General features: G+C 36.8%; 1 protein-coding gene across 1 annotated transcript in view, besides 1 other annotated feature; it reads right to left on the bottom strand.

Moving 5' to 3' along the window:
- Positions 3,067 to 20,989, bottom strand: part of MBTPS2 (membrane bound transcription factor peptidase, site 2) — a 45,807-nt gene continuing 27,884 nt past the window's right edge. Inside the window, exons 6-11 of the mRNA NM_015884.4 lie at positions 19,905 to 20,023; positions 18,812 to 18,992; positions 10,354 to 10,448; positions 9,798 to 9,993; positions 7,518 to 7,593; positions 3,067 to 6,057 (exon numbers count right to left, since the gene is read on the bottom strand). Of these exons, the coding sequence (NP_056968.1) occupies positions 5,835 to 6,057; positions 7,518 to 7,593; positions 9,798 to 9,993; positions 10,354 to 10,448; positions 18,812 to 18,992; positions 19,905 to 20,023 (890 nt within the window). The 3' untranslated portion in view covers positions 3,067 to 5,834. The remainder of the gene's footprint in view (positions 6,058 to 7,517; positions 7,594 to 9,797; positions 9,994 to 10,353; positions 10,449 to 18,811; positions 18,993 to 19,904; positions 20,024 to 20,989) is intronic.
- Positions 4,885 to 5,179: a silencer, noted in NCBI's record as "tiled region #3899; K562 Repressive non-DNase unmatched - State 24:Quies". NCBI's record gives its function as "represses a minimal TATA promoter and a strong SV40 promoter by Sharpr-MPRA in K562 cells {active_cell/tissue: K562}" and the evidence as "EXISTENCE:reporter gene assay evidence [ECO:0000049][PMID:27701403]".

Raw genomic sequence — 20,989 nt, 5'->3', positions numbered from 1 at the left:
TTATTTTGAAATATAAGATCCCAGACCATGCGCAGAGTAGAAAGTTTTTTATTGTCTGATTTGGTGGCTTCAAAGGCCATCCTATCCTGAATTCTCTCCTATATTGGTTTCTCATAGTGCTTCCTTCTGAGTTAATATGCTGTTTTCATAAGACCAGATGTAAATGCTGGCCTATGTTACTATCAGCAAATACACTCATGAACACAGGTTATTTTCACTAGTTACAGGAAGCAAAATCCTTAGCCATTTGCTTAAATACTGCGATTGTTGGTCCATTTTGATTGGGGGAAGAAATGCTTAAAAGAGCCAAGGCCTGCAAGATACTCTGGACAATCAGAACCAGCTTGAAGGCACTGGAAGCCTAGAAGGCATATCAAAAGGAGGCAACATCTAACACCAGTACACACTGAGATCTCAGGGCAAATTAAGTCCTAATCCTGCATTCTGAAAATAAGTACTTTAAGTTCATAATACCAGTAATGACTTGAGCATCCCAGGCACCATATTAACTACTTTATGTAAGCTGTTGTATATAATAGTCTTCAAAAGAAAATACTATGATGTTTATTTTAAGGATAGTTAAGTCTATATAGAAAAATAAACCTCGATTCCCTACCTCATATCATATATTCCAGAAATTAAAGATCTCATCATGAAAGTACAACTTTAAAGCAAATAGAAGAAAATGTAAGCGAATACTGTTGTGACTCTGGGACAGGACAGGACTTTTTCAATAAGACCCACAAAACACAAACAATAACTCAAGAAATTAAGGGATCTTACTATATTAAACTAAAGATCATTGTTCAACAAACAACCTCATAAATAAAATTTACTGACGAGTGACAAACTGGGAAAAGTTATTTGCAGCATCTACAATGGACAAGAGATTGATATCTAGGACTTGGGTTGTTCTGGAAGTAGACTGATATCTGGAACATGGGTTGTTCTGAATATTTGTAAAACATAGCAAATATTTTAGGCTTTTGGTTATATGATCTCCGTTGCACCTGCTCAACTCAGCCATTGTAGCACAAAAGCAGCCATCAAATACATGAATGAATGTGTTCCAATAAAACACAATAAAAGTTTATGTACAAAAATTGGCAGTGAGCAAGATTTGGCCTGCAGGCCATAATTTGTTGACCTCCAATCTAGAATATACAAGAAATTTCTATGGATCAAACAGAAAAAGTTAGCACACACAATAGAAAACTGGGCAAAGGATATCAATAAGCAAGTGGCAGAATGAAAAATCCAAAGGGCTAAACAAGTATATGAATGTGCAACTCTATTAATAATCTAAGAAATGCAAATTAAAATGAAATGTTATTTTTTTTTGAAATGTCATTTTAAACCCAACAGATTTGTCAGAACATGGAAGTCAGATAATCCAGATGGAGGCAAGGGTGTGGGCAAACATGGAACCCTCATGCCTTGCCAGTAAGAGGGTCAGTTACAAAAAGACATTTTTGGAGGGCAATCTAGCAGTGCTAAGGGAAACCAAGTATGTGTTTCCATACTCCAAATAAAGGGGGGGCTCTTTGATAAAGGGCAGCAGGAAGCCTTATAACATTACACAAACATTATGTTTACTTTGTAATTAAAGACAATATACACGATCTTTATTTTTCTCATTTCACTTTGGATGGACAAAAATACCACCATAGACTGTCACTAGTCTACAAACCAGAATGTGTTTTAGAAATGAAGAAATTCTTAATATTCTTAGAGTCTAATTCTTTTAGAGTTCCATATCTTTAAGAGAATTAGCTTTAGAATGCTTGATTAGATTAATAGGATGCTAAATTTAAGATAAAGTGAGAGTTCAATTTTATACTGTGGAGAGCCAATTACAGGGTTCTACTCTTAGATCCTTCTAGGTTTTCCCTCCTCTACAGTGTCAGGAGCATGTCAGTAGAAAAGTTTGAGAAGCATTCAGTTAATAAGAAGGGACAATTATTGACTATCCATCAATCTTTAGCTAAATAAAACTAACATATATGGGTGTTTTTTCCTCCCTTTAATGGAAAATTAAATTATACAATATAACCTGCTTCGTAATTAGCCATTTTTTTCCTACCTCCACCCCAAGTATAACTTATTGTAGCACTGAGTTCTGAAACAGAGGCGTTTCCTTTCATTGAATTCATATGTCATGGTCTGATAAAATATACAATGGATTATTCAAATTAGTATGACCCCAACAGCAAGAGTAGCTTGCAAATGCACTGATTAAAAAGGCTTATTGTCTCAAAGAAAGTATATTTACATGCTTAAAAATAACTGTTATTCAACTCTATTACGTTGCTGAAAACCATTCCAGAGTTAAAAAAGTTGTGAAATAACTAAAACACATTCCCCCCCAGTCTTTTATCACATGCACATTTACTTAAAAAGTTAGATTATACGAAAGCATATGCATACTGTTTGATCCGACATTAAGAGAAAAATAGTTTACATGGAATTAAATACTTCAAAGTTAACACATAAAGAGAGAATTTGATAGTATTTAATTATATCTCAATAAAGCTGTTAAAAAGTGGCTTAATCAGTCATCTAGTCTTGTGGCTCTTAACTGTAGTGTAATGGGATCAGAGGCAAGAAGTAGTGGAATGAAGCTAACCAGTCAAAAACTGGGCTACATTCCTAGCCTATTTTATCTGGCCCTTACTACCAGAGAGAGAAAGAGAGAGAGAGAGTATGGGAGGAAGCACTAGGGCAAAAGGTCAAGAAGAACCAAATGCCATAGTTAAAACATTCTCTTTCAAGAATTCCTAACTGACAGCAGACTTTTCTGTCAGACACAGTAATGAAAGGAAACATGATAGTCCTCTTTCTTTATCCATAAACCAGCCATTTCCAAGACAGTAGCGAGTGCACAGGAGCCTCATTTAAAAGACTTATTTTCAAGGCCTGCAACGACTTTCAGGTATAGATTATACGAATGAAAACTGAAGGCTGGTTCTAGAATCAAGAATTTAAAAATGATTAAGATCTTGCTTTATGTAATAGGAACAATTTTGATAGAAAAGAGTTTCAAAAAAGACAACACATAGACGATGATAAACATAAAATGCTGGTACACATTTATTCTTTTATTGCTAAACATCAAATGCCGGCAATTACGATACCTTCAAGTTAAAGCTTAAGAATGAATTACAGGACAGTCAGAAGATTTATAGAAAAAAACACCTGTGCACCATTAGTATGTGAACATTCAATAAATACCATAGGACAAAGTGATGACTGAGAGCCACAATATCTATGAAGCACATGTTTACAATTTGCTGTTAGAACAGACAATGACCTGTAAGAGCGATTATCAAAAGGTCAAGTTTAACTGCATGTCTTTTCAAACTGAGATGCTGAAAAGAATATATACATTCTTTACAGATTGTAGGTGATTAAAAAAAACTGTCAAAAATGTAAACAATGCAGAGTAGGAACACTGAGAATAAAGTTTTACTGTTGAACAAAGTGACAACGCAGAAAGAACACTTTCTTCAATCCTCAAAATAATCCATTTTTCCAATCACTCTACAGAAACCACAGTGGATTCTTTCCATGAAGATGATAATATGCCAGGGACACAAAGACCCTCCAAGTTATTTTTTTATGTGAACATATATTTACAGTAAATATTCAATAATACTTTTTACAGCTTACTTAAATAGAAACATGCTTTTTCTAATCCATAAATAACACTAATCATTATCCATTCAACTGCATTTATTAAGTACTTATGTCTCATGCACTGTGCCAGGGATGCAAAGATGAATATGATATGGTCCTTGCTGTAGAAGTGCCCACAACCAAGCTAAAGAAGAAAACACGTAACATTTTCTTTCTTACATAATGAGGCCGGTTTTATACAAATGGTACTGATCTGCTCTTTCCTAGTAAAGTGGTTCCCAAATCCTGATCCTATGGGTCAACAGATCAAAATGTTTAACAGTTGAAATAAAATGAGATTTGGGTTTCGTTTTTTTACTCAGAAAAATAAATTAATGAATAAGATTTCCTCTATTAAAGTTTTTTCTTGGTTTTTAAAAAAGTGACTTGCACATATACAACCTTTTCATTAGTAAAATTGCTTAGTTCATGCAATCAAATTAATTATATAAGTATTTCATGGCATTCTCCAAGCTCTACTACTTGAACAGGTCTGACTGAGCATTACTATGCTAATGTACTCTGATCCCAAATGATTGTCTACCTAAAAATAGAACAAATACTGTATTTTCTGGAATAAACCAATAATTCGTATGGTTTTAGTACTGGTATTAACTGATGACCCAAGTCATTAATAAAATGTTAAAATTATATTCAACATCTAATTACTGTTAAGGCAAATTTGTAATACAATCTAAAAAGTTTCTTAAAAATGATTAAAAAGTTTTAGTGCTTACAGAGCAACTCAATAATCTGAAAAAGGTAACCCCATGGAATACATCACTCAGTAAAGAAGTTGGATAGATGGCTATTAATGAGTTATTGCCCTTAGTCACTTCTGAGTATACAAGAGAAGCATGTATTTTCCATCAAAGAAACAGCAAGCTCATATACTCCTAGGACCAATAGCTTCACACTGGCCTGCTGACTCCCCAAATTTCCCAGGGCTGCATCTCCACTCCAAAAGACCTCAAAGCAGGCGTGGCTCTTCTGGGCTCAAGAATCAGTTCCCAAGCCCTGGAAAATCCACGTTTGTACTCACGTATAGCCATTCTCACTATACTACCAAGTCTTCTGTGGACCCAGAGAGGTAGCTTAGGAGAGAGACAGAAAACAAGGACTAGGTACTTAATAACCTGACACAGAAAAACATGGGAGCCGCTGGTGAGGACAGAGTATGGCTCAGAGTTTAAGGTCATTGCTTCTTGGAGACAGGAACCCAGGAGCTAGGCCCCAGATGTCCTGAGCAGCACAAGAGAAAATGTTTACCCTGGAAGGGTTCCAAGCTTCAAAGCTCTATAGAGAATGGGAAGTAGGACTGCTGAAGATCCTCTGGGGTGTCTTGTGATCTGTCAGGAGACCCGGCCTAGTTCCGAAGTTCAACCCCAACTGCCTCCCTCTGCTCACATGCTGCTGGTGTGTGATGCTTCCTGCAGCTCACCGTGGATGTCAAAGCTAGTGCTGCTTTATGAGGGGGCAGAGACACCTTATAAAAGATGCAACTCTTGTGGGGCAAAACATGTCTCACGATATCATAGGCCCTACTTCCTGTTTTGTTCATTTATTTGGTATCATTTGACAAAGATTTTTCCCTTTCACGTCAGCAGATTCTTCTATAGAATTTTACTAATTGTAATCAGACCTCAGCTTTCAGAGCACAAAATAATACACCATTAAGTTTTAAAATACTTTTCAAACAAGACAAAGGACAAGAGATACAGGCCAAGACAATGGTCATCCTTCCACTTGGCCAAAGTCTGGTCTCCTTCAAATTTTGATTAATGATGCTTTTGTAAGAAGTTTTTCCCAATTAATTCCACCCAGTTCTGTTCTCCTTTATACTATTTCAACACAATATGTAATCAGACAAAACGGTATTACATGAATTTGCACTTGCTTAGATATTATTCCACAAGCATCTGGGTACATTCAGTCCTAAATTAGAATATAGTCAGGGACTATGCCTTTCATTTCTTCTGCTTATCTTCTACCACAGAGTTTGGGTACTCTGGATATGGGAGGAGCTCAGGGTTGTTGGCTAAGATGTAATTTTAAGGAAACACTTTATATTTCATACCAAGTAAGAATTTCAATGGCAATGAATATTACCACATAGCTGTATACTGTAACTCAGGGATTCTGTCAGATGAGTGCAAACATTACCGTGCTGTAACCATCCAGAGTCCCAGGGTCACATTGGCAGCCAAAAGTACACTGCCACCCAGCAAGATGAAAAACCCTATTAGATCTTTGACATCATTGTCTCCAATCACTGAGGTAAGGGTGGCATCCAAGAAAGAGTTTAGAATCCATTGTCCATCCAAAGCAAAGCAGGGTACTGCATTAACAATAGCCAGAGCTCCTGAGAGGGAAATCAGGTACCTGGGTTAAAATCAGTTAAGGAACCAACTGTGAGAGGTCTGAGTAGAAACCATATTTCTATGAGTCAGAAGATATTTTACTGTGACTGAATTAGAGATTACACTTGACTTCTCTACTTTCTTTAAATCTCTGCCATTCCTTCTTAGATCTCTACTACTTAAAAAAAATGAGTTTATATTATTTCAAAGTTCAAAAACCTTGACTAGAAAAATAAAGGCCAACCACTTATAAACTAAGCCAATCTATAATGAACTCGTAGGAAGACTAAGTCTTTCTAATCCTTTAATGATACAACAGGGAAAGGAATGTGGAAGGAATAAGAAATAAGGGGAAAATTACTCTTTGGGCCTTACAAAGTATTACTTTATATTAGGAAACAAAGACTTTGGTCCTTGAAGCCTACTTTATTTTACTACCCTCTGTAAGGTTATAGCATAAGTCTCTTTGTGACAAAGCTGCAGAGTCTATAAAGTACAATCTTTTTTGTTGTTGTTGTTGAGATGGAGTCTAGCTCTGTCGCCCAGGCTGGAGTGCAGTGGAGCGATCTTGGCTCACTGCAACCTCTGCCTCCCGGGTTCAAGCGATTCTCCTGTCTCAACCTCCTGAGTAGCTGGGACTACAGGTGCATGCCAAGACACCCGGCTAATTTTTGTGTTTTTAGTAGAGATGGGGTTTCGCCATATTGGTCAGGCTGGTCTTGAACTCCTGATCTCAGGTGATCCACCTGCCTCGGCCTCCCAAAGTGCTGGGATTACAGGTGTGAGCCACCGCGCCTGGCCACAATCTTGATTAAACACATTTTTTAAAAATAACTGCTCATTTGTTTTCCATTTCTTTTTTTAATTTAAATAATTGAGGAACGACATTAAAAAATTTAAAAGCGACAAAAATAAAGAACTCTTCCACAATTTTCCAGTAATTCAATTCTGCATAATAATTAATATGAAAAAATTCATCTTTTATGTGCAATCATAATATGCGAAAGACCACAATAAGATTTGGCCCTCTGAATTGCTATCTTAGTAGTTGAAACCAGCTCGATCTTTCTTGTGCATTCCTCCCTGGGATTTACATAATTCCTGGTTATGCGATTACATTCTCTATTTGGTCAGAACTAACAATCTCGGATGGGGCAGAATTCATTACCTCAGTAGTAACTGAAGCTTCCATCCTTTATAAACTTACTAAAATGTTTTAGACTTGTAAATTCAATTCTCAATTTGTATTCTGGGTTCTTTCCCTTCTACATCTAAACCTTTCTCACTCTGATTAATCTTTCTCCTCTGACTTCTTCCCTCCTGGGTACAATCTGATCTTTTTCATCTTTCAAGACTCTTTTTTAGTTGTTAGCAATTAAGTGATACTTGTGAGGTCTATATTTGTAATGCTGTATTCAAGGTAAAATTGATCAAGATCCAAGTAACACACTTTTAAAACATGTTTCACACCAGAAAGGATACTTGACAAATGTCTCCACAACCACTGGCAGATCTATGCTTAGAAAGTTAAAACGTGGGATAAAACTGGTGATGCTCACTGAAAAAGAAAAATAAGGAATAATAAATATTATTCATACCAGAGAATCAACAGCATTATGAATTCTACCATATGGTTAAAAATTGGGCTAGCAGATTAAACTGATTGAGAAAGCCCTTCCTAAACATATGCAGGCCATATACCTCATATATAAAAGCAATCAATACTTCTAGAACATCTAATAAAAACAGCAGAATGAAAAAATACGTCCCAGTGTGTACTTACATTTTGAGGCGAGAGTAAGAAATTTACATTAAGAGTCCTTACCCTTTCAAAGAGGTATAACCTTAAAATTACATTTACTCCTACTATTATACTACTTAACCTCTTTCAGGTCTTTTTTTTTTCTTCATGGCTAAACCAAGGATTAAGATGAGGGGATTTAAAGTCTCATCTACTCTGTGGATTCCATAATCCTGTTTTTGTTCAAAACATTTTAAAACTATCCTGTAATTAGTCAGAACTCACAGTACACATTCCTGAATTACCCCCACTAGGGACATTTATTCATTTGTTGAGGTTTTATTTCATAGTTACAGTCTACAGTAATTTAGTGTCAAACTAATAGATAAGAAAAATGACCTCGGTTGTATCTCAGGATATGACTATGGAGCAATGAGAGAGTCTTTTAAAGAGTGACATAGGCTGGGTGCGGTGCCTCACGCTGTAATCCCAGCACTTTGGGAGACCAAGGCGGGCAGATCACCTGAAGTCAGGAGTTTGAGACCAGCCTGACCAATATGGTGAAACCCTGTCTCTACCAAAAATACCAAACATTAGCTGGGCGTGGTGGTGGGCACCTGTAATCCCAGCTACTCTGGAGGCTGAGGCAGGAGAATTGCTTGAACCCGGGAGGCAGAGGCTGCAGTGAGCCGAGATTGCGCCATTGCACTCCAGGCTGGGCAACAAGAGCGAAACTCCGTCTCAAAAAAAAAAAAAAAAAAAAAGAATAACATAAAACCCACATATCCATTAACTATGAATGAATAAAGAAAATGTGGTCTATCCATACAAAGGAATATCATTTGGCCTTAAAAAGAATGAAGTACTAATTCATGCCACAACACAGATAAACCTTGAAAACATTAAGCTACATCAAAGAAGCTAGTCATAAAATATTCCATTTATATGAAATGACAAGAACAGGCAAATTTATAGAAACAGAAAGTAGATTGGAGATTGCCAAGGGCTGGGGGTGTTGGGGAGATACAGGGAGTGACTACTTAATGGTTATGGAGTTTCTTTTTGGGGTGATGAAAATATTCTGCAGCTAGCTTGTGGTAATGGTTGCACAACTCAATATATTAAAAATCACTGGGCCGGGCACAGTGCCTCTTGCCTGTAATCCCAGCACTTTTGGAGGCTGAGGAGGGAGAATTGCTTGAGCTCAGGAGTTTGAGATCAGCCTGGGTAACAAAGTGAGACTCCGTCTCTACAAAACCCAAAAAATTAGCCCAGCACAGTGGAACACGTCTGTAGTCCCAGCTACTTGGGAGGCTGAGGTGGGAGGATCACTTGAGCCCGAGGTGTGGAGGTTGCAGTGAGCCAAGATTGAGCCACTGCATTCCAGTCTGGGCGACAGAGTGAGAATCTGTCTCAAAACAAAACAAAAACAAACAAACAAACAAAACCCCACTGAACTGTAAACTTTAATGGGTAAATCGCATGGTAAACTATTTTAAAAATCTTGTACAACAAAATGAGTTAGACTACATGATCTTTAGCCATAAAGAACTTAGTCCAATGATGCTGCCACTGCTAAAATGATTATGCTGGCCCAGTTTTGAAAGTATATTCATATGAAAGTCATGTGTCACACATAAATTACAGTTACATCCCCATGCATCCTGGCATTCTCTAGGGTATGTTGCTCTTGCCTGTTTTGGGGAGCTTGTATAAATTTAATAAACTCTCAGAGGACATCTGAGAGATCACCTATTTGACCTGGGCATAAATGGTAGGGAAGGAAAAATGTGTCACTCTCCATAGGCAGGCATGGATTCAGCTCCACCTTACTTTATAAATTCAGATTATTTTCCTACTGCATAATTTTCACTTAATGCTTAAGAACAAGTTAACAAGACTTTGATAAATGATCAAATTTATAATAAATGTATTAATTCAAGGATTTGTAGTGAGTCTCTACCACTGAGACTATATGTGATCTTAATGATTTTCTAAGGGTCTACCACAAAAATACTCACCTGTGTAGTGAAGATGCAGAGGATGTCCTACGTATAACATATCAATCTGAGGTGGGTGTTTTACTTTTATTAAGCGAGTGTGAGTTTCCAAAGAAGGTATTATACAGAAACTTGAACTTGAGCTTTTTTTACAGTCTTTATTGGTTCTGCAAACTTGAGTTGCTTCAACTGCTTTCCGGGCAGGAAGACATGTATGCTATAAATAAAATATTAATCAGTCAATATTAAAAATGATTAAGAAAAACCTAAGTTACATTCCTTCAATATTTTTCATGTCACCTAGCATATCAGGAATGAGGTTCATATAAAAGAAATGCCATTTATGTGCATCTACTATAAAATAGATTCAAGTACCCCATTTGGGTCAAATAAGATATTATCACTATAAATTTTTAAAGATTTTCAGATGAAATGTGACATGTGAAATGTAGAGATTTTAATAAAATGATACAAATAGAGCAAAAGAGAGAAGTTTCCATAGATTCCATTTTAGCTCTATATGCTTATTTTTTAGTAATTATATCAGACAAGCAAGACTGCTTCAGGGACAACTTACCAAACGCTTATTAAAATTATTTCTGTAGGAAAAGCACACATCTGTGAGGCTGTGATTGTTACAGCATTCAGTTGAACCATCTAGTCGTTTGTATGCTAAAGAGAAATACACTGTTTATTAGAGTCTCTTATATAAAAATACATTTGTAACAAAAAATGCCTTTAAGACAAAAAGAATAAGTAAAATGGCATATGAATTTAGAAGCAACTGTATAATTCAGAGTTCAGCTTGAGGGCTACTTGCTGCAGTTTGATTTTACATTACCAAAAGAGATCCATTCAATTTTAAATCATGAAGCAGCAGTTACCCTAGGTTAGTTGTCCTCATATAAACTGAGCTACCCATAAAGCCGGAGTTGCAGTGTCTCAGTAGGTTTCACAATAATAAGTCTGGCTGGTCAAGCACAAACATTTAATGAACTACTATTATGTGCCTGAATGCCAATGATCCAACATTACTGCTGAACCCCTGCACTGTGGTGCTGGTAAACAGAGGGGGCCAGAGGTTGCCTAAGACATCCCCATTATATCCAAATACCGATTCTACCCCAGGCTTACTTTGGGGCTCCCCCTAGAGAACCAGAGATGCCCAATTTGACCCACAGATGTGCACATACCCGCCTGTACACCAGTAATCCAGTTACCATTTTTGGAAGACAACAGCAATGGGGCAACTGTTCATTCCATTTATTTATTTAGATAGAGTCTCGCTCTGTCACCCAGGCTGGAGTACAGTGGCACGATCTCTGCTCACTGTAACCTCCACCTCCTGGGCTCAAGCAATTCTCCTGCCTCAGCCTCCTGAGTAGCTGGGACTACAGGCATGCGCCACTGCACCCGGCTAATTTTTGTATTTTTAGTAGACATGGGGTTTCACCATGTTGGCCAGGCTGGTCTCGAACTCCTGACCTCAAGTGATCTGCCCACCTCGGCCTCCCAAAGTGCTGAGATTACAGGCGTGAGCTATTGCGCCTGGCTTATTTATTTTTTAAAGTTCTTTAGTAGACTGCTTTATTTGGGAGCAGAATAAGGAATCTACTTCACTTATAAGGTGGGACAAAAAATGATTTCATGTATTTATTTAGGAATGTTTGCTGCATTCCAACACATCAAACTGGTAAAGTATAAATTTATGGGTGGCAAGGACCAATTAAATGTGAATCTTGAATATAAACTACCATACTCAGATGTGCTGATGAAAATAGACTCAAGCGCCAAATTATCCCTGTTTCTCAGGACTACAAAAAGCTTTTCTATTACAAGAGTGCTTTCAGGAGCACTTAGCATGAAAAACTTAGTTGATATGCAATGTAATTTTAATTTTATAAAAATTTTGTATTTCAGCCAAAGTTTTTGCTTGCTTGTTTTTAAATAGTTTTTTGTTTTGTTTTACTCTATTGTTTGAGGAAGACATCTTTGTATTGGTTATACTGGATTTCCCCTAGGCATACACTGTCGCTCTATCTCCTTGGCCAAAACATAGCAAAGAACCAAACAGAGGCAAAGGAAACTAACTGGTGATTGGCTGTATGGGTAATTTTGTTCTTTGTTCTGTTTTCTTTTTTTTTTTTTTGAGACAGAGTCTCACTCTGTCACCCAGGCTGGAGTATAGTGGCGTGATCTTGGCTCACTGCAACCTCTGCCTCCCGGTTCAAGTGATTCTCCCGCCTCAGCCTTCTGAGTAGCTGAGATTACAGGCACGTGCCACCATGCCCAGCTAATTTTTTTGTATTTTTAGTAGCAATGGGGTTTCACCATGTTGGCCAGGCTGGTCTTGAACTCCTGGCCTCAAGTGATCCACCCACCTGGGCCTCCCAAAGTGCTGGGATTACAGGCATGAGCCACTGAGCTGGCCTGTTCTGTCTTCTTATCATAACTGAATGGGTATTTAATTTTGAGTGAGGAGCAGTATTTAAAATATTAAAGGAGACTGTGAGCATCTAATGACACAGACAAATGCTAGCCTATAATCATCTGTCAGCCCTAATGGTAAAGTATAAGGTAAAAAGTTGTTTAGGAATTCTTTAGAAAAATCAATCCAAGCTAAAACCCTCAGTATTCTCTTTGATCAGATTGCCAAGTCCCATGGATTTTTACCTCCTCCTCATTTTTCTCCTTACCTATTCCCTCTTGAGTGCAGACTAATTCCTTCTCACTTTTAAACTACCTTATCTCATATGATTCTCTTCCTAAACTGAATTACTGGCAGTTCCTTGACCACCTTCTATTCTATGGTGCTGAGGTCCATGTCCATCTTGACGTCCTAAAAGTAAACTCACTGTTGACGGCCAGTTCAAGGGCTGATGCTGTGAAACCTGCCTTCATCTTCTCAGTCAAGACTGTTATCATTTCCCAGTATTGCCTGTCATTACTTAAATTTAAACTTGTACTGTAATAATGTGGGTATGGTCTGTTTTTCTGACTCAACTTTGAGCTCCCTGAGGGAAAGGTTTCTCAGTGTCTTATATAAGGTGGATTACTCAATATACACTGAATACATAAATGATGTTATACCCGATTTGCCTTTGCATCAGTAATGATCTTAAAATGTTTACAGCTGATGCTTAATTACTAACTTTTCTTAAGAGGACTGGGTACAATACAGAATTGGAAGTCAGGAATTTATTATCGCTAATGATACGGCATGTTTGCTAATATAAATGCTTAAATGGGCCAAGCTGGTACCAAATAAATGAAGTGGATCATATGCAGAAAAAACAAAGTGGTGGGAACTGTGAGGAACTAGAAAATACATGGCCTGTTCTAGGGGGTTAGCAGCCAGGCCACTCAATTTGGGGCCCAGAATCGACAGATCTTCCATTTTGTCCCAACAGAAACCAGAAATCTGAACCTTCATGTGAAGCCTGTTGAAGTTTAAACATTGGCAGCCAATTAAAAATTTAAAAACACTGGGCAAGCCAAAGCAAATACATCTGCTAAGGCTGGATTTGGCCTGGAGGCTGCCACCAATTTGTGATCTCTGGTTTTTTCTTCCTCTGGCATTTATTCCAAGCAAAACAGAAATCCATGGCTGTGGCCTCCCTGACAAGATTAAGTACCTCCTAACATACTGAATTTTCCAATAAAGAGTGAAATATTTTGTTTGCATGTGAGAAGTAAACTTGATATTTCTCTATCACTATTTTAAAAAGTTATAGGCTTAAACAGTTAATTTTAGAATCTTTTCTACTGGGTCACATAAAGAACAAGTTACTCAACCAATTTCTGTGACTTGATTCTTAATCTATAAGATGAGGGGGTGCAACACAGATAATTTTTACATTCATGTATTTTTATTAATTACGAGAGGCCAATACAATTCTACTTTGGAACTAATATTCAAGATTGCAATAGGATGTCCCCAGGGGAATTTATGGGTTCAATTTAACTCTAGAAGATTAGAATTGTCCTTTAAATATCCCCAGTGTGGGAGACAATCAGAAAAATTTAAGGCCAGAAAAGTTTCATAATGTTACTACAGGGAGAACTTGTATATTTTGAATGTACCCTAAGATGAGCCCGAAGATAGTCACAGAAATAGTCCAGTCTACAAAGAATGGTCTAGACCAGAGGTGACTGTGGAATAAAGCTGGAGAGAAGAGATTTTTTCAGTCTCTAGTTCACAGTGCTTACCACTTTCTGTATCTCTAATATGAACTGAACAATTTTCTTACCCTAGCTTATTAAATATATAACACATAGCTAGGGCTCCAACACAGGGAAGCAAGCCTATTTATTCTCAGTTCTGTTGCTGACTTTATGCCATCATTGCCTAGTAACAAGTAGTAAAATTAAACACACACACACACACGAGGCTGGGTGTGGTGGCTCACCCCTGTAATCCCAGCACTTTGGGAGGCCGAGGCGGGGGGATCACCTGAGGTCAGGAGTTTGAGAACAGCCTGGCCAACATGGTGAAACCCTGTCTCTACTAAAAAAATACAAAAAAATTAGCCGGGCTTGGTGGCACACACCTGTAATCCCAGCTACTCGGGAGGCTGAGGCATGAGAATTGCTTGAACCAGGGAGGCAGAGGTTGCTGTGAGCTGAGATCGCGCCACTGCACTCTAGCCTGGGCGACAGAGTGAGACTCCATCTCAAAAAAAAAAAAAAAAAAGTATATATATATATATATACACACACACACACACACACACACAGACACACACATATATACTTATATACACACTCTTACTCTTCAATTTAGGATAGCAAAGAAACCTTGGACCATAACTTGATGCTCATAATAACAAAAAAAGGTCTTTTTGCTTTTCAAATATTAGAGCAATTTGGGCATAAAAAAAATCTGAGTTCTCAAAGTTTGTTGAAAAGATTCCCAGAGTTTTCCTTTTATTATCTTAAACTGGGTCAAGAAGGGTCTTCTCTCATTCCAGTTAAAGATACGTAAGACAGTTTAATATTTCTGTTGCCAGGCAGGTAAGGGCATAAACCCTCACCTCCTTTGAACAGGAATGTAAACTGTTCACGGTGGATGCCTGAGTCTGGGCTCACAGCTTCATTTTAAGCAGAGTTGCCTTAGCATTCTGTCTCGTGCTCCTTAAAATGTAGTTCAAATGCTGGACTTGCTAAGGACAGCCTTTCTTACTCAAGACAATGCTTTCATCAAAAAGGAATTTAGCTTTATGCATATATGAAATAAGGAGTGCCTCCCTCAAAATAAAGAGTGAAAATACAAAGTACTTGCTAGGAAAATAGTCCCCCAAAAGAGCCATACTAGTTATTGTCTAAAACTTTCAGTTCTATTTAAATCACTGAGTGGTGTATGGACAGCCAGCAACCCTAAAAGCAGAGGCTTCAATATGAATGGGGGAAGAGTGTATGTTTTTCTGTTCTGACCCAGATAAGACCAGAGATCTATTCCAGGTACAAAGGGCTCTAAGCCCTCACTCAGTGTTCTTCTTGGAGTTTCCCCAAAAGGCCGTTTAACCTTCAAAGAGTTTAAATCTAATACTGCATCTGAGAGAGACAGGATATGAAATAAGAGGCTAGAGATAATTGGTGGAGATGGTTTACAAGCACTTCCAGGGTGTGATCTTTCCTAGGTGGCTTTATTGCTCTGAAATGGTATAAATTCCTAGAATTTAGTTATGTGTACTGAATTCTACTCTAAATTGAACATGAATAACTTTTGGATCATTGGACACTCTGTAATAGTATATCTGACCATATCTTTCACTCCTACTTACAATGAAGGATAACGAAGTTACCTAGAAACATATAAAATACCATCAATCCATAGCTTTCTTAAATGTCCACAGACCCAGGGGCTAAGCCTGCCATCAAAATTAATCTAGTATGTATTTTTTTTTTAAGGCTAGTCAAGTGATGTAGTGGGAATAGAGAAGGAACAAAGAATTCTGTAACTGGTTGTGTTCAATTAATTGTAAGCACAACTGCATTTGGACCAGCCATAGTATGTATTTTAAGTGATATTTACAGACATTAATACTCCTTTAAACTGGCTAAGTATACATACTCCATTTTCAAAAGCTTAAATAGAGGCACAGATTTATCAGATATAGTAATCATGTAAAATAAACATGTATACTGAGACAAAATAGATATTGAAGAATTACTCTTGGGCTGGGACAGCCCAGGGCTTGAAAAAAAAAAAAAAGAATTACTTCTGGATTGATTGTAGTATAAAAAGAGTAATATCTGCTTTAGGTATTTAAACAAATACCTCCAAAATGTAGCACATGATCCACAACAGTGAAATACTCAAACAGTTAATAAGAAGAGAGTTTCTGAGTGTTTCAGGGAAAATTTTTATTTACAGTCTGTCTGTCAGGAAAAGGATAAAACCCTAAACATCTGAAAATGCAGATATCCTAAGTAAAACAATCCTACTGAAGAGAACTTTATTTAACTAGTGTGTCACTTTGGTTTTTGTAATTCAATACACATTACATCAAATTTAGAGAAACCAAAAGAAAAGGATAAAGGACTTAAGAAGTGGAAAATAATGGATCATTTCTTTAAAGAAGAACACATTGTGGATTACATATTAATCTTCTGTCATCTTAAAAGTTTTGGAAGATGGTAAGAGGCTCCTGAGAATGGGGAAAATTTATAAATATTTCAACCTTAAAGAATCAGATTGCTCCACTGAACAATCTTAACACCATTAAAACAGAGAACAATAGATACTGGATGCAATATGATGCCACAGGAAGTACCAAGCGCTGTTTATGAAGTGTTTTTGCCAAAAAAAAAACCCAAACAAAAAAAAAGGATTCTGAATCTAATCAACGCCATGGACCTAATTAGCAGTTTATAGAAAATTGGAAGACATCTGAACAAGTTAATGACATCATGAGGATAAGATATAACCAGAAAAACCCAGAATTTAGGAAATTCAACAAAACAAATGCCTCAGTTTCTTCAACAAAAAAATAACATTTCAAAAACAGGTCAAGGAAAATTGTTACAAATTTAAAAAGTCTTAGAAGACATCCTAACTAATTTAAATCAACTATAATGAAAAGAATTAGAAACAACTGAATACCAACCAGATATCAGAAATTAGTGTTATTTTGTTAGGAATTATAACAGTATTGTGGTCGTGTTTAATGAGTCATCATCCGTTAAAGGCAGGCTGAAAGGTTATGGATGAAATGATAGGATGCCTGGGATGTACTTTAAAATACTTCCCCTAAAAGTGGACTGCTTAGATGAAAAAATTGGCAAAATGTTAATAACTGCCGAAGCTGGCAGAAAGATACATGTGGGCTCGTTTATACTAGAAAATATTAGAGTCCTAAAAGTTAAATATGATATTATGAAAATAGTTAGAAGTTCAACAATATATAATAAAGGAAACACACATATTAGCATCCAACTTACCAAGAAAAATGTCTATTGGTTTGAATCTATTTACTTTACTGATTTACTTTAAACAGATTAGAACAGAATAAATCTATAGACATGGTCTAAGGATTAGTGAATGGCAGGTACTGGTGCTTGAAGCATTATATTATATTGAGGAAATATATTCTCCATCGTGTCTAAACATTTTTGATAATAAAAAAATTCTTACAAATGAGTAAATTTTAAAAAGTTTTTTTAAAAAAATCAGTTCTTACTACTTTGCCTGTGTTGCACACAGTACTTTACTAAAACTATTCTTGATTATTAATCATATTTCCCTACACCAATAGATGTGGACAAGTATCAGGATATTTTTTTACTTAAAGATATAGTCTGTGAGCATAATTTCTATTTTCTAACACCTCCAATTTTGTATAAAGAATTGGGAAGCTGATTTTGTATAAAGAATTGGGAAGCTGATTTTTCAGAGCTGAAATAACTCTAAATAAGTTTGGCAGGATCCGAGAAGAAACTTGCCTCAGCTCTGTCATCTGCTGCACAGAGCAACATATCTGACTTCACATGGTATTTTTGGAAGCCAAGACAACTTCTTTAGGATGGCTGCCACATAAAATACATAAAATAACTCTACCCCAGATAGAATCAGACATGCCAACACTGATTCCACTAGAACTGTTTAAGTATTAAGGGAATTTTTAAGAAGTAAGGGAATTTTTTCTAAATCCCAGATGGGGTTTTTTGTTTGCCAAGTTCCTTCTTATTTCTTGTAATCTTTCCTTATTGCATGTCTGTGTTGGGCTAACAATATATTAATACAGAATGTTTATGCTTTGATTTTTATATATTTAGTTGTTAACTATCGTTGTTTATCTGTTCTGACATAAGCTTATGCAAAGTAGAACCGGTTCTTATTACTTATATTCCCTTTTTCAATTATAAAAGTTTAAAGTACTATAATATATCTACAGACATGCATAAAGATAATATTATATTGGGGTATTTGATTATTGGAATTAGTTAATTGGTTATGATTGACCTTGAATGCTGATTTTTTTTTTTTTTTTTGAGACAGAGTCTCTTTCCATGTCCCGATCTCGGCTCATTGCAACCTCCACCTCCCGGGTTCAAGCGATTCTCCTGCCTCAGACTCCCGAGCAGCTGAAATCACAGGCACCCGTCACCATGCCCTGCTAATTTTTGTATTTTTAGTAGAGATGGGGTTTCACTATGTTGGCCAGGTTGGTCATGAACTCCTGACCTCAAGTGATCCGCCCGCCTCAGCCTCCCAAAGTGCTGGGATTACAGGCGTGAGCCACTGCGCCCGGCTATGATTTAATACAAGTGTTTTGAAAGCAGAAAATATTAGAGTCCTAAAAGTTAAATATGATATAATGAAAATAGTTAGAAGTTCAACAATATATAATAAAGGAAACACATATTAGCATCCAACTTACCAAGAAAAATGTCTATTGGTTGGAATCTATTTACTTTACTGATTTGCTTTAAACAGATTAGAACAGAATAAATGTATAGACATGGTTTAAGGATTAGTGAATGGCAGGTACTGGTGCTTGAAGCATTATATTATATTGAGGAAATATACACACCTCTAACTGGGAAACTTAACTGCTGTAAAGTTGATGCACTTATACAGTAACCAATTTGGGGCTCATAGGCGATGGTATCTAAACATTCATTCCAATCTTGCACATTAGTAACAGGACAATCCTGTAGATGGGTGACAAGGTCTCCCACAAAAAGGCCTCTGGGTCCAATGGCAGGAGAGTCCTTGGGAAGAGGGTAAAACCAAATCAGATAATGCATGAAGACAAGCTATAATTAATCTGAGCAAATAATAAAGACACTGAGTTAATTAAGTGAATAGTTTGAATGCAGAAAATAATCCAGCTTTGAATTCAAGACATAGTCCTAGAAAATTAAAATAAAACCCAACAATTATAGTTGCTTTTCCCAAATTCTCCAAGATTTTGAATTTTTCACAATTGAAAAAAAGCCGACTTGCTGACTGTTAAGACTAAAATGATAAAATTTTTTCCCAAACTGCCAATTAAAAATTTTTTGGTGAAAGTATCATCAGACTGTCTTGCCTTTCCTATATCCTTAACGCATAAAACAATAAGACACATCCTTTCATATCCCCAATATGCAGGCAATACCATCAGTACAATGTATATGTAAGCCAATTGCTCACAAAGGTAATTTTCCTCTTTCTAATGTCTGAATACAAGATTTGATGCCATCATAGCAGTTATTGTCTAAGGGAGTGAAATACAGAGTTGAAGACATTAACTTAAACTCCTATGAAATGTTACGGCTGGACAGCCTAGGTTTCATCTTTCTTACTACTTAGGAGGCGTAAAGACATTTGACTCAAAAGCAGAGATATAAAAATAAACAGAAAAGGTAAATGATGCATTTTACCAATAAACTACAGGTAGAAAATCTTGATACTATCTTCCTAAGTACAGCATCAGGACAAAAACAATTTTCATGAAACTTTAAAAAAACCAATGTGTTTCCCAACATTATTTGTTAGATTTGAGAGGACTACAGTAATTTCTTCAGAAGAAACTAAGCATTTTGTATATGAAGAGATCTTGAATAAAAGTTTCTGAATAGATGCTAGGTATTACATCACAACATCTGATGAAAGAATGCCCTGAGTAATCCATTATTTACCTCAGCAACTTCAGTGATGAGCACCCCAACTCCAGTGTAGTAAAATGGCAAGAGAATTACTGGGAGGAGAACAAGAGCTAAAATACCCAAGAGTGCAAGGACAAAATTATGCCAGATACCTGGAAAGAGAGGAAAAAAAGCAATAAGCTCAACCGGGGGCAGGAATGATATAAGTAGCTGGACCTCACAACACTTGGGCATTCTGATAAATTAATAAAGTGATCAGAAGAAGCAATGAGGCAAAAATATCTACTTATTAGTAGAGCAGACAGATGTTCAATTATTAGTTACTTTCATTTTAGATATTGAAATCTAAAATGGGCATGTTAATACCACACTAGGAAGACCACATGCTAACATGATTTGATACTGATAGAACTAATATCTTCCACTAATTATACTCTCTTTTCAGAAAATGTATATATCACTAATTTAAACATATTTGTGATCTTTGAAAGAAACCTCATATACATTCAAATAAAAAAAACTCTTGCTAAACAGGGGTACAGAAACTCAAATGGTACTTGGAAAAAGGAGGTTGTTTTAAGAACTAAACTATTATGCAGAACAATATTGGTGGAACAAACCGAGCATATATTTTACATCACGTCACAGACTATAAAGCAACAAACCATAAGAAAACTGTCGGCCAGGCACGGTGGCTCACGCCTGTAATCCCAGCACTTTGGGAGGCCAGGGCGGGCGGATCACGAGGTCAGGAGATCAACACCAGCTTGGCCAACATGGTGAAACCCTGTCTCTACTAAAAATACAAAAAAATTAGCCAGGCATGGTGGCGCGCGTCTGTAGTCCCAGTTGCTTGTGAGGCTGAGGCTGGAGAATTGCTTGAACCCGGGAAGCGGAGACTACAGTGAGCTGAGATCGTGCCACTGCGCTCCAGCCTGGGTGACATAGCACAGAGCAGGACTCCGTCTCAAAAAAAAAAAAAAAAAGAGAAAACCGTCTTTATTATTTTTTTTTAAACCCTAAAATTTAGGTACTCAAATTCATTAATCTTTTCCATTATATATTCAACCTTTGCAGCTGTGCAAAGGAAGACTTTCTCGCCCCTAACATTATGTAAG

This window comes from Homo sapiens, chromosome X (genome assembly GCF_000001405.40).
Source record: "Homo sapiens chromosome X, GRCh38.p14 Primary Assembly".
NCBI lineage: Eukaryota > Metazoa > Chordata > Mammalia > Primates > Hominidae > Homo > Homo sapiens.
The sequence above is the reverse complement of the archived record's forward strand: the minus strand, read 5'-3'. Positions and strand labels throughout refer to the sequence as shown.